This window comes from Homo sapiens, chromosome 3 (assembly GCF_000001405.40).
Source record: "Homo sapiens chromosome 3, GRCh38.p14 Primary Assembly".
NCBI lineage: Eukaryota > Metazoa > Chordata > Mammalia > Primates > Hominidae > Homo > Homo sapiens.
In genome coordinates this window covers 107,703,962-107,718,244 of record NC_000003.12, presented here as the reverse complement: position 1 = coordinate 107,718,244, position 14,283 = coordinate 107,703,962, and the positions used below count along the sequence as shown (strand labels likewise).

The 14,283-nt window shown below is 37.4% G+C and overlaps 1 protein-coding gene across 29 annotated transcripts in view; it reads right to left on the bottom strand.

Moving 5' to 3' along the window:
• Positions 1 to 14,283, bottom strand: part of BBX (BBX high mobility group box domain containing) — a 288,378-nt gene that overhangs the window by 93,095 nt on the left and 181,000 nt on the right. For all 29 annotated transcript variants that reach the window (XM_024453646.2, XM_011513001.3, XM_047448599.1 and 26 more), the window contains 2 exons: positions 7,623 to 7,793; positions 1,396 to 1,638 (listed from right to left, as the gene is read on the bottom strand). In XM_024453646.2, the coding sequence (XP_024309414.1) occupies positions 1,396 to 1,638; positions 7,623 to 7,784 (405 nt within the window). In that variant the 5' untranslated portion in view covers positions 7,785 to 7,793. The remainder of the gene's footprint in view (positions 1 to 1,395; positions 1,639 to 7,622; positions 7,794 to 14,283) is intronic.

Sequence of the window (14,283 nt, the reverse complement as noted above, 5' to 3'; positions counted from 1 at the left end):
ATATTAACACTAATAAAATTAATAATTATACTAATATAATTATAAATACTAATATAATTAATAATTATGGTAATATAATTATTAATAATTTTTAGTAGCAACTATGCTAATAATTTAGATTCAAATTTCCATGAAACTTTCTTAAGAAATTTTTACGTGGTATTTTTTTAAATTTTTATGTTTAATGTTTATGTTTTTAGCTAATTAACTCAATAAAGGCATAGCACCTGGAAGAATTATTTTTTCACATACCGAGATGTCTAATAAAATGTCTTGAAACTCTGTATTTTGTCCCCTGCTGGTTCATTTTTTGATAAAACTTAACCAAGTGTTTGGGTGACAGGGGTTTTCATGAATCAAGATCTTTTTGCAAGTTGCAACGCTGAGGAAATAATGTTAGAATTATTCCTTTCAAGTTTAGCCACAGTAATATTGCTTTGCTTATCCCTTACTTGGAGCTAAATCCATCACAATACATTTAAGTGTATAATGGTCTCACATTAATTCCAAATATAGTAAAAGAACCATGATACAACTTTTGAAGAAATTTAGTAACTGCTATCATTCTGGAAGTGATTAATGTCCCACCTTTCTGAATAGCCTTCCTACATGGAAATGCTTCCCACTAACCACCGCCTACACAGTATTTACAGGCATGTACACCTTGCAGTACATCCTGTTCCACTGGTATTCAATCATTTATTGGTTTTAAATATTCATGCAGCACTACCTACAGAACAGAAACAAGTCAAAGCATATTTCTTGACAATTTTATTACAAAATCAAAAAATGTTAGCACTAGAAAAGATACAAATCTTTGTCCAACTTTCTCATTCCAATAACATTAGGAAAGAAAAAAAAAGAAGCTGAGATGCAGATGTTGACTTATGGATATGGCCACAAAGCTATTTAGCAGCAGAACTAGATCAAGGCTCTTTCCCATGATATAACTACAGTAACCTAAGATTGTCAACTTTACCATGGGCATTCTCTGACAATAAAAGTAGAGTTTCTAGAAAAACTTAAAAAAGAAAAAAATCACCATTCACAATAAATTACCATGATAAATAAACAAATCACCATTCACTGTAAACCATTCATAATAAACCTTCACAATAAATCAATCCCTTATATCAATCAGTGGGGTATAGACAATGAGAAAAAACTTTTTGTTAATATATTGTTCTTGGCACCTCCACCAGCATTTCTACATGGACTTGGAACACAGGAACAGGAACAAGTCATACAAAGAAAGCGGTTATGTTTTTACTTAACATCTCATTTATGATTCACCTTCTCATTGCTAGACCTTCAACAGGTGCTTCATATTTGTTGACTGGGAGTTTCAGGACTGGTTGCTTTTAGCTATCAGAATACCTTGTCATTGTAACCTACCTCCTTGGCCATGTCTGTGTATTTCTGCTTTTCCTTTGGATCAAGAACAGCCCACCAATCAGCTAGTATCTTGGTAGCACCTCGGTTATCAAGCCTGGGGTGTTCCTGACGTACAAGAGAGCGATGGCGTTTGCAAAATAAAAGAAATGCATTCATTGGTCTCCGGGCTCGCTGCTCTGGTGATTCATCATCTTCAGTTTCACCAACATCTTGCTCTAGGCCATCGGCCCCAAGAAGTTGAACCTATTACCACCAAAAACAAAGCCAGATCTTTAACATATTTTGGATAATTTTGATTTAACAGTTAGTCTTGGTTTGCAAATTGTATTTTTTTCTTAGCTCCATTTAAACAACTTACACATTGAAAAAAATATAATTTTAAAAAATCAACAACCACTGTTCATGGTTGGTAACTAACTTATGATGTATCCTTCTGCTTAGTTTCTATAGCAACCTGTGCATGTCTCTATTACAGCATATATTACATTGTGTTATAATTGCTTACATTTTTTTCTCTCTCACTAAACAGTGAGCTCTTTGAGGACAAAAGCTCTTATTCACCTTTACAACCATAGTGCCTAGCTCAATGTCTGATATAATATTAGTACTTAATTAATTGTGGAATGAATGAATAAACCCATTCTATGGTTAATGGGCATCAAGATTAACAACATCCACATAAAATATATGAATAGTACCTTTGTCTTTCTCTGCTTTGAAAAGTGCCTTTTTCTACAACTAATAATATGAGACTATTTAACATGAAAGTAAGACATAAAAAGGTAATATAGACTACTCAATGTTTCTGCAAGCATCACAAGTAGAGTCTTGTGTAAAAAAATCAAAATCGATATTTAACATGATTATTTGAAAGAAGAACTACACAATAAATCTTCAAACTTGTAAATCTCAAGCTTTCTTGTTTAGTGAAATGCTCTGGTGATAGGAATAAACTCCTCTAGGCTTAAACCTTCAAAATCAATTTTGAATCCTCTTTTATCCTACACTTCATTCAATCATTGTTCAAGGTCTTCGAGGACTTCTACAAAGCTCCGAATCTGTCCATTCCATCTGGGTGATTCTCATTCCCACTGCCCTAGTACCACTTTGGCCTACGCCTAGTCTTCCCGTTTTTCATCTTCTTTACAATACTTCTTGCACATGGCTGCCAGGTTAACTTTCTTAAAGCCCATCTCTGATTACAGAATCTCAGAACATATTATGATTGTAAAATATTTTCTAAGGAAAAAATGATTCTATAATGTTTCTTAGAAACAATGTAACTATAAACAGAAGTCCACAATGTTTACTAAACCCATTTCCTTAATTTCTGGTTTCAAAATTAAAATCAAGAAGGACAAATTGCAGGTTAAGTATCCCTTATCTAAAATGCTTGGGACCAGAAGTGTTTCGAATTTTTGGATTAGGGATACTCAACTTGTAACCATTAGTCTGCATTATGCAGCAGAGTGGTTAATTCTTAAACTTGAGTATGCATTGGAATCCCTGGAGGTTCTGTTAAAACACAGGTTCTAAATCCCATTCCCAGAGTTTCCAATTCTGAGGTATGGAGTGGGTCCTGAGAATTTGTATCTCTAACAAGTTCCCAGGTGATGCTGATATTACTGGTTTGAGGATCACTCTCTGAGAACCACAACTTTAAGGCAACCATGTTCTTTTATTACAATGTTTATTGGGCAATTGTTACAAGCAGATACTTTAGGACTAATCACCTGCTTAATCCAACTGGTATTTTTAAAAAGTCTTGGCCAGGCGGGTGGCTCATGCCTGTAATCCCAGCACTTTGGGAGGCCAAGGTGGGAGGATCATGAGGTCAAGAGATTGAGACGATCCTGGTGAACATGGTGAAGCCCTGTCTCTACTAAAAATACAAAAATTAGCTGGGCATGGTGGCGCGTGCCTGTAGTCCCAGCTACTTGGGAGACTGAGGCAGGAGAATTGCTTGAACCCAGGAGGCGGAGGTTGCAGTAAGCCAAGATCACACCACTACACTCCAGCCTGGTGACAGAGCAAGACTCCGTCTCAAAAAAAAAAAGTCTTTTGCCGTTAAGTATTTCAAATGCAATCAATTAACCATTAATTATCTTCAAACACAAAGAGTACAGAAAAAATCTTGAGGTCATAGCCATCTAATTTGGAAATATGTTAGGAATTATTATTGGGGTGAAGCCTACATATTTATCTTCCTCATTATGTATATAATGGTAACAATAATTTGCATTTTTCAAGCGAGTTTTATTTAGCATTCTGAAACTAGGAAGCTAAAAAAAACTAAAAAGTGTACTATTAATATATAAGATGAAGAAGCAATTATATTTCCCCTTCAGAAAAGAGTAACTTTTCATTCAGTTATTAAATTATAAAATTCAACGTGTAACAGATGGACAAAGGACCTCATGTTTTGGGAGGGGGAAAAACCATATAAACATAAATTTAAAAGCAGTGTGCTGACTGCAACAAGAAACCAGCAAGATAACAAAGCACTAGTGGATGGGAAGAAGCGCAAGAAGGCCTCCCTGGAAAAGGTTGCCTGAGCTACATTGTGAGAAACAAATCAGGTTGGGTGTGGTGGCTCTAATCTCAGCACTTTGGGAGGCCAAGGTGGGGTGCGGATCACCTAAGGTCAGGAGTTCAAGACCAGTTTGACCAACATGGTGAAACCCAGTCTCTACTACAAACACAAAAGTTAGCCAGGAGTGGTGGTGGACACCTGTAATCCCAGCTCCTCTGGAGGCTGAGGCAGGAGAATCACCTGAACCTGGGAGGAGGAGGCTGCAGTGAGCCAAGATCACACTACTGCACTCCAGCCTGGGCAACAGAGCAAGACTCTGTCTCAAAAAAAAAAAAAAAAAAAAAAAAAAGAAAAAAATTATTAAAAAAATTAAAAAATTACAAATTAAAAAAAGGAGAAACAAATCAGAATGTGTCAGGTCGTCAATGGAGAGACATGGGGAACTAACAGGGATTAAGTCTTGCTGGTTTATCTGAACATTAACTTGCAGTTCGACAACACTGGTATGTAAAAGAGAACAGGGCTTCAGGAGACAAGGATGAAGAAGATGATCTGTGCCACTTCATGAAGAATGTGCTCTGCCATATTTAAACGCATGCATTTGATCCTGTAAACCAGCAGTTTGGAACTGTATGGACCAATAAAAACATTTGATTTGACACAGTTTGTCAACTTTTCATTCTGCCAACTATGAACATCGAAAAATGTTTTAATTGCTATTTAATGTAATTATTTTATTAATCAAAAAGTAAATACATAAATACATGAATAACAAAATACAAATAAAAACGCTCTTAGAGTTTAGAACTTATTTTTCTTTCCCCAGGAGCTCATTAATATTTTCTAAGAAAAATCAACACTAGTTCCCACAGCTGGATTGATGTAATGGAGAGCCATGAGTGACTTTAAGCAGTGGAGGGACATCATTAGATTGTATTTTAAGGAGATAACTTCTAACAACAGCATGAATTTTAAGAGTAAAACTAGAAGCAACCCAAACTAGAAAACCCAGTTAAAAATGTATTCCAGCTGTCCAGGCAAAAAAGGGATAGGGCTGAAATCTAGGCAGCAGTAATGGGAACAGAGAAGTGAGAACAGGGACAATATTTATGAGGCAGAAACAAGAGTGGCTGGTAACTAATTGGATCTGAAGGCAGAAAAAGGAAGAGTGATTCTGGCTTGGGTGGCAAAGTTTCTTCATATACAACAAAAAATAATTGTTCTCAAATGAGAGAAATCAGCCAGGTGGAGAGTAGAAAGATCAGTGCTGGGCAGGCTGAATTTGAAGTGGCTATGGGGAATGCTGTGTGGATACCTATGTCTGCAGGATAATAATATGAGATACCAATATGCAGAAGGTGCTAAGACTAAAAGTATGGACTAGACCACTGAGTGTGAGTGAAAAGAGAAGAGGACTCAATGACTTTAATCCCTCCCCCAATAAATATTTACTGGGTTCCTGCTATGAGCCAGCCACTCTTCTAGGTGCTGTGAGCACACAGTGAGCACAGAGAGCAGTGAGCACACAGAGTCCCTGCCCTCACAGAAACAGGAGCCGCACAACTGGCCTTACATTTTGAAGGGATTCCTCTGGCTGCTTTGTTGAGAATGGACTGCAGGAGGGCAAGAGCAGAGGCCGGGAGAGAGGGAGGTAGATACAATAATCTCTGCTAGAAATGGTGGTGGCTTGGATCAAGGTGGTACAGGAAGGAACTGTTAAAAGGGCAACAAAACTGTGAACATATCTTGAAGGTAGAGTCTGAGAGGATTTGCTAATGGATGGATGTGAAGTTTGAGCAAAATAAAGCAGCAAAGTATGAACTACAAGGTCTCAGGTCGGACAAATGGGAATGTTGCAGTTGCCCTTTACTGAGAAAGGGAAGATGCAGGAGAAGGTTGGGAGAAGAAAAGCAAAAGCTTAATTTTGAATTCATTCAAACTGAGATTTCTAGTTGATAACTAATGGATATACCAAGTAAATAGAAATATGAGTCCAGAGTTCAGAAGAAAAGTCCAGGATGGAGGTAGAAATTAAGATTGGAGGCCTAGAGAACACAATCATTTGAAGGGTAAATAATGCAGGGACATTAACTGAAAGAAACTAGGAAGGAACAGTGGGGAAGGTAGAAATAGAAAGAGGGGCCAGACATGGTGGCTTGTGCCTATAATCCCAGCACTTTGAAAGGTTGAGAAGGGAGGATTGCTTGAAGCCATGAGTTCCAGACCAGCCTGGGCAACATAGTCAGACTCTGTCTTTACAAAATATAAACAAAATTAGCTGGGCTTAGTGGTGTGTGCCTGTGGTCCCAACTATTCAGGGAGCTGAAGTGGGAAGACTGCTTGAGCCTGGGAGGTGGATGGAAGCTACAGTGAGCTGAAATGGTGCCACTGTACTATAGCCTGGGCAATACAGTGAGACCCTTTCTAAAAAAAAAAGAAAGGATAAATAGAAACAGGTGTGGGTGGCCAAAGGAAAGAAGGAAGAGAAACAGGAGTGGGTGCCCTCATGGAAACAGGAGACTGCTTCAATGACCAAGTGATCAACACATGCAAATGTGTTTAAAAAATGAAATTAAGTACAAGCTTGATAATACCCTCAAGTAAGAAGAATAAAACCTGTTTCTCTGAAACAGGAAAGGTGGAAGGAAAGATTAGTAAGGAGTGAGACAATTACATAGATGTGTACAGGAAGCTAAAAGAGTAACTTCTGGTGGCCTCTATTTTCTCTGTGAAAAAGGAGAAAAGGTCATTAGTAAGAGAGACCTTAGAGGGTATCCAGATGATGTCTGAAAAAGAGTAAAATTGTTTTTAATTCCTGATGAAAGCCAAGAGAGACTGAATGGATGTCAAAGGCCTGAAAAATATTAAAAACATGTTTATAAAATTCGTAGTGACACAAAATATGTACTCATTTATTCTTTCATTCAGCATACATCTATATTTAATACCTACTATGTGCCAGGCACCATTCTCATTTCTGAGGCAAGAGGAAAGGACGAGACAGGCAAGGCCCCTGTTCTTATACTGAGCTTCTATTCTGGTCTGAGAGAAGACAGACATAAATAAGTATACAGCTAAATACATGGCAAATAGCAATAAGTGCCATGAAGAAAATCTTTTGACTTTGAATGAGTTGGGTGGGACGAACACTTGAGACGATTTCTTAAGTCACCTGCATGGTTATGTGACTGAAGAGCCAGCTGCTGAGGCCTGATGCCAGAGAAAGGACTAGGAGGAATGAGTCATCACAAAGACTGGGGGCAAGTGCAGCCAGAAGCTGTGAAGGCCACGGATAGAGACAAAGAGAGCAGTTCTAAGACTGCCAATGGTAGCAGGGCGAGGCCAGAAGCCAAGACAGAGAGGCCAGAAGAGCCACAGGGTAGAACGTCAGATGAGCACATCAAGTTTTAGGAACATCCCCATCTCAATGTATTTGAACATTACCCACAAATCATTAGTTAGGTGACAAAAATCGTATTTAAAAGGATGTGTCTCAGTCTACACTATTAGGAAGTACAAATACTTTAAGAGCAATCAAGAATTGGAATAAAAATGTAAACTAAGTAATTGAATAGGATTCAAGCTATACAGGCTTTTGGAAACACTTTTGTAATATCATTCATGTTCACTATTGTTTCTAGATTATGATTTGCTCTAATAAACTTGAAACTTCTATGGTAAATATAGGACTTACCTTATCAATATCCTCCTCTTCGTCTTCCTCTTCTTCCTCTTCTGAAAAATCAAGAAGTTTCTTTGCTAGCAATGGATGCCACTGAAGACACTTTCGTTTTGGTCGTTTTCCAACCCCTTCTCCTTCTGCTGAATGATCCTTATTTCTATTACTGCCTTTCATTACTGTGACCTGTAATAGGAAGAGAGAGAGAGAAACAGGGAAACAGGGAGAGAAAGAGAGACACCGAGATAAATCAAAGTAAATTTGATTACAATTAGTTTATTTAGCTCCCTTTAGGATTAATTAGATTATAATTTTAATGACTATACTATCAGCTCATTTACTGGTAGATAAATACATAATACATAATGAATCCAAAATACATAATGAAACATTCATTTTAGTGGGCTAAATGGAGCTAATAAAATTTGCGTTTTGTGAAATCTACTTCCCTCCTCTCCATAGCTTCTGAACCTAAAACCCCAGTAAGCTTAAGGATGTTACCAGTTGTCTTCACCTGTGTGTATTTACTCAGGGAAGCGTTTCTCAATTTCCCATCAGAAGAACATGAAGGATGCCTCCCAAGAGAGTTGAAGAGTTCACAGGGGCTTGCCCCCCAGGCATTCTCTGATGGCTATTTTACTATAATGATTTACATGAATTTTGCATTCTATACCATGTTAAATCTGTGCTTACAATATTACTAAATAAAATGAGTAATTTGTAAGAATCCAACATTTTAGATTTGGGCAGTTGGCTAAGCTAAGAAATGGCCAAGCAATGGCCAAGCTATAAACGTGACAAAAATCTTTTAGAAGCCTAAAATTCTGAATTACTTTTCATTGATGTAAAAAAAAGTTCTTCTCCATGATAAAAGCAATACATATTTCTATTAAACAGGTGAAAATAGCATAAAACGAGGTTTGCCCTCTCCATCATGTCCTGCACCATGGTCCAGAGGTAACTGCATGTTAGTTTCCTGTATGTTTTCTCACAACTTTTTTTCTGATGTTACTTCTCATTCATTCATTCACTCATTCAAAGTAATGTTAAAATAGAAATTACTGTCATGGAAAAACTCAAACAATACAATTAAATGCCATTGGTTTAAATGGTTCATGAATGCTGACAATACAAACACAAGTACAGTTGCTAAAATTACCAGGTAGCAGCCTATTTGCTCAGTATGTTTGCATTAGTCCAAATGCTTGAGAAGTGGTACCATTAAACTTTTAACACGATGTTAAAACAGAAACTGGGATTAATGAACACATAATATAAAGATTCATCTAGTTCTCAAGCCGTTCAGAGAATATGGTATAGGTTATCTGTCTTCCTTATTTCTGGATTCTGGGTCATGCCTAGGTCTTCCTTACTTCAAAAAATTATTCACCAATGTTTTCTCCTAGAACTTGTACAACTTCAACTTAAACATTTAAATACTTGATTAATCTGGGATTCATTTTGATAAAATAAGTGAGGTAAGGATCTAGCTTCTTTTTTAAAAAAAAATAGCTAGCCAACTATACCAATACCATTTATTAAATAATCCAGCTTTTCATTATTCCTTCTATCCTATATTAAATTATCACATGTATATGAGCCTATTTCTGGATTCTCTTCTGTTAATAACCTCCCTCCAACTGCTTGCCTATCCTTTGACCAATTTCAATGTCCTTAGGGACTATATCATTCTACATCTTTTTAAATATACAAATATATCAATAAACAGCCATTAAAAAATTTAAGCTGCATATATCATACTCTTCTATGTAGGTAAATATATGTCGATTGTTCTAATTCTAAAATAATTGTGTTATATTCTAAAACATGAATGTATCACAATTTACTGAGTCTACTATTGATGAAAAGATTATTATGCTACAATAACTCATTTTAATAAAATCATTTTCTAAAAAAATCTTCATTTTTAATAAAAGTTCTGATTAATTTTTTTTTTTTTTTTTGAGACGGAGTCTTGCTATGTTGCCTAGGTTGGAGTGCAGTGGTGCGATCTCAGCTCACTGCAACCTCTGCCTCCCCGGTTCAAGCAATTCTTCTGCCTCAGCCTCCTGAGTAGCTGGGACTACGGGCGCCCGCCACCACAACCGGCTAATTTTTGCATTTTTAGTAGAGACGGGGTTTCACCATATTGGCCAGTCTGGTCTTGAACTCCTGACCTTGTGATCTGCCCACCTCAGCCTCCCAAAGTGCTGGGATTACAGGTGTGAGCCACCACGCCCGGCCTTCATTAATTTATTAAAAGCTATGTCCAGTCAAGAAAAAGAAAGGGGGAAAAGAAAAACATGTTCTTGTGGCATTCTTAGCAAGAAGCTCATGCTGGAATATCTGAAGCAATTACATGACTTGTGTGGCTGACTCAATAATACAAGAAGTTATTGAAAACTAAATGGAATTAGGTATCTGGTGTGCTCTTAATAAGAGAAGATTTCTTGTGAATTGATAGTCCATTTAACAATTCCCATTCTATCTACAAATAAAAGTTGGCACAGGTAACTCAATTTCCAGAAATGCCAATGCTGTATAGAAAGAAGAGGAAATGGTTGTTTCTGTGACATAGTAATCACTTCAGGATGAGTTGCTTGAGTGGTAGTTAAACCCATTTAAGGGTCTAATATTTTAAACAGTAAAAGAAATCAGTGGGAAACTGTAAGTAAGGCAACTTCTATCAGTTGGAGAGGGTAAAGTGATTGCCACTGCCAAGAGAAAAATAAATCTTTAGCCCCCAAAATTTTGAATTAAATTATTATTTAACTATGTGTGAATGTATATATATGTGTGGATATGTGTGCACCTTTGTGTATATACATGTAATTTCAATATTCAAAGAGAAAAACAGGGTCTCAAGAATCAAATTAATGAGGGTTATATGTGGCTTCTTTCTGGGTTCAAAATAATCGCATTCAGTCCTCCCTCATTTCTAATTCTTCCCACGTAGCTCACATACCACTTTGGAGAAAATGTCTTTTCTGATACTCCAGAAATTAATCTTTCTCACCCAGAAATACATTAGAAAGACTCTACATTGCTAATGGCACTTACCACATTTTCCCTTCAATTATAATTATTTAGATACATCATACCTCCATTGCTAGGCCTTTTTCTTAATGGTCCAAGACTATACTCAGAAACATCCTGGCACATCAGATCATTAAGATCAGTTAGTTGTGAGGATTGTCACAAACAATGACACAAACTCCTGTGCCAAATTGTGATGATGATTCACTATTTATATTCTCCAGGATAGCTTCAAGATTAACTACAATTTCTTACACTTTCCTGAATTCAGATATTCTTTTCTAAGTGGGAAACAAAGGGAATTGAAAACTGTGCACAGCTCAGACACACAGACCAAGGTGGCATGTGATGTCTGAGAACCACCAGATGCACAGGCTTGGGGAGAAATAAGGCTGGCAACCCCTAGTACAGGGCCTGGAACAAAGTAGGTACATTTTTAGCAGGTACAGAAGATGAATAAAACAGTAAGTGAATTGGAAATGGTATACCTCAGATGAAAAATCAAGAAAAATGTACTGTAATTGATCTAATAACTATGAAATACCTCAAAGTATAAACTGTGCACTTTAATAATTTATAGTTATCTAATTCTTTCTTAATTCCTTATGGATCTATGTTCAAATTATTGAAAGAAGGCAAAACAGTGAAGGGAAATGATGTTCCTGATTATGATTCAGAAGTAATGAGAAAGCAAGAGAGAATCATTTTAAAAAGATGAAAAAAAGTGGGAAAGACAAGGGCAAAGAAAGCATAATTTTGAGACAATGTTATCACTCATCTTACTTCAACAATGAGGAGGAGGTAAAATTGTTAATTTTTGAAGTGACAGAGGACTAATCTTGTCATTATTTTGCCACTAAAAAGCCCACACATTTTAAAGTTTGGTTTCTTGGTCTTAGAACAAGAGCAAATTAAGCTAATAACCTCTATGCAGTAAATGAAGCAAATGTTGGACTTTATTCAAAAGACGTTATTCTTCCATTCTGCATTGCAATTTTAGAATAATTGAAATCAGGTTATTTAACTATCAATGGACTCTGTACTTGAAAAACTAAACATCATCAAATTATGCTGCTGAGACTGTCAAATGATGATATAAAGCCCCCTACCAAAATTTACCTTGTGAAAAAAAAACCAACCCATGTGTACCCCCTTTGCCCCCTTTCTGTGTATGGCAGGACAGGTGACCCTAAATTGACATTCATTGTACTGAATTCAATGTAAATTGACAGATTAGGAAAAATTTCATTTAATTATATTCTTCAAATGTAGCAAGCCAAACCGGGCGTGGTGGCTCACGTCTGTAATCTCCCAGCATTTTGGGAGGCCAAGGCGGGTGGATCACGAGGTTAAGAGATTGTGCCATCCTGGCCAACATGGTGAAACCCTGTTTCTACTAACAATACAAAAATTAACTGGTTGTTGGTGGCATGCACTTGTAGTCCCAGCTACTCGCGAGGCTGGGGCAGGAGAATCGCTTGAACCCAGGAGACAGAGGTTGTAGTGAGCCGAGATTATGCCACTGCACTCCAGTCTGGCTACAGAGTGAGACTCTGTATCAAAAAAAAAAAAAAAAAAAGTAGCAAGCTCATTCATGAAGGACGTTTACTGAGGTCAGACTTCATGAGAAACTTAAAGAAGAAAGATTTTAGAAGGAAAGAGTACAAAGCAAATGCCATATTTATTAAAAGAAGAAGAAAAAAAAAGGACACTGGAGCCTGATAGGCTTCCTTTAGAATCCTGCCTCTACCACAAACTACCTGTTGGAAAGTTAATACTTGTGCTGATCTTTCCTCATGTTAAAACTAAATAATAATAGCTCTACTGTGAGAACACATGTAATACCCAGCACAGTGTCTAGAAGATTCTCGTTCACTGTTGGCAAATCCACCCTTTACTCAACAAGCTTTTTAGACTGGGAAGCATGGGATTAACAGGCAGCATCTGCTCACTTAAACTCATCCTAAGATGTCATTCAAAAGGGAGCATAGATGTCTCCCATTTGATAGTGATCCATATGCTGCCCAGATGATATAATCTGCAGCCTCAGAAACTGAAAAAGAAAGATGGAGAGTTTCCTTTCCTTTGTCTGAGTGATACACAGTCAGAAACAGTGCCTTGGCACCGTCATAAATTTTGTGAATAAGATCCTCTCATCTATTGTCTTGTCTTACAATTTAGGCAATCAGTTACACTTTAATCATTAAAACATTAGTATACACTGAACTGTGTCACGGTGGTATTTTAAACTGTTTCCTAAAAGTCCAATGAAATTCCACTCAAATCCTGGTCATTAAAATTCACGCCCAGTGAAACAGGAGAGTATGGGAGGCCCATTAAATACCACTGCTAGACAACCACATATTCTAACCACAAATAGGGCCTCTTCTGGGTCCAATTAAGACTACAAAACCGCACGGCCTTCTCCAGAGTCTACGGAGGAGAGGAAAAACCAGCCCAAAGACACTGTAACATAGTGGAAACTCTAGTACTTCCACACAAATTGGACCCACCTGCTTTCATTCTTTCTAAAGAGTTCTGGGACTTTCAAATCACACCTTGCTTTCAGTCTTTCAAGGGGTCCTGCTGCCACAGAAAACAGCAAATACTCCAAATTTGAAGCCTTTCTCCTTCTCACCTTAAAAGTCTCCCATTTTCTCTGAAAGTCCTTCTCATCCTCCAAGACCCGGGTCAAATATCTCTTCTTTTATCTGAAAGCCCTAAGTCAAAGTCCATCACTCTGCTATGAGCTTTGATTGTACTTGATTCTGTTAGGTCAAGCACTTATCATAGTGTTTTGACAACTCCCCTGCACCCTGCTTTGATTGAAATGTGTCCTCCAAAGGTAATCCCCAGAGTAACAGTGTTGGGAAGTAGGGCCTAACAAGAGGCAATGCAGTCATGGGGGATCTGCCCTCGTGACTGGATTAATGTTGTGATTGTAGGAGTGAATTAGTCATCACCAGAGTGGGTTTGTTATTAAAGCAAGTTTAGCCTCTTCTTACTCTCATCCTCTCTTGCTCTTCTGCCATGGAATAATGATGCACAAAAGCCTTCCCCAAATATTGGCCCCATGCTCTTGTAATTCCCAGCCTCCAGAACTGTGAGCCAAATAAACTTTTGTTCATTATAAATTACTCAGTTTGTGGTATTGTTATAGCAACATAAAATGGATTAAGACATCTCCACGTCCACAAAAGGTTGTGACCTTCAGAGTGCAGGTGCCATCACTACCTTTTTGGTCTCAGTGCCTAGCACGGAGCCTACTGCACAGTAGTTTCTGGAAAGGGTATTTATTGGCTTATAATTTCCTCATCTAACACTTAACCACATATGACTTCTCAGAATGACATGCTCCTAAATTTTTTTTAAAATTCTGATATGCAACTAACATTTATTAAATATTTAACTGCTACATATTTACCTTCTCATTTAATCCTCACAAAAACACTCTGATGCAGTTACTGTGATGAATTCCACTTAAAGCAACAGGGTTAAGTAACATGCACAGGATAACATGGCAAGTAGAGGAACCAGAACTGGACCCAGGAAACCCAGCTCAAAGAACCCAAATGCTTACCTGGGAAAAAGAGCTATAATACAAAGCTCTTCAATCTGCCAACTCTCTATTTCCTATAGA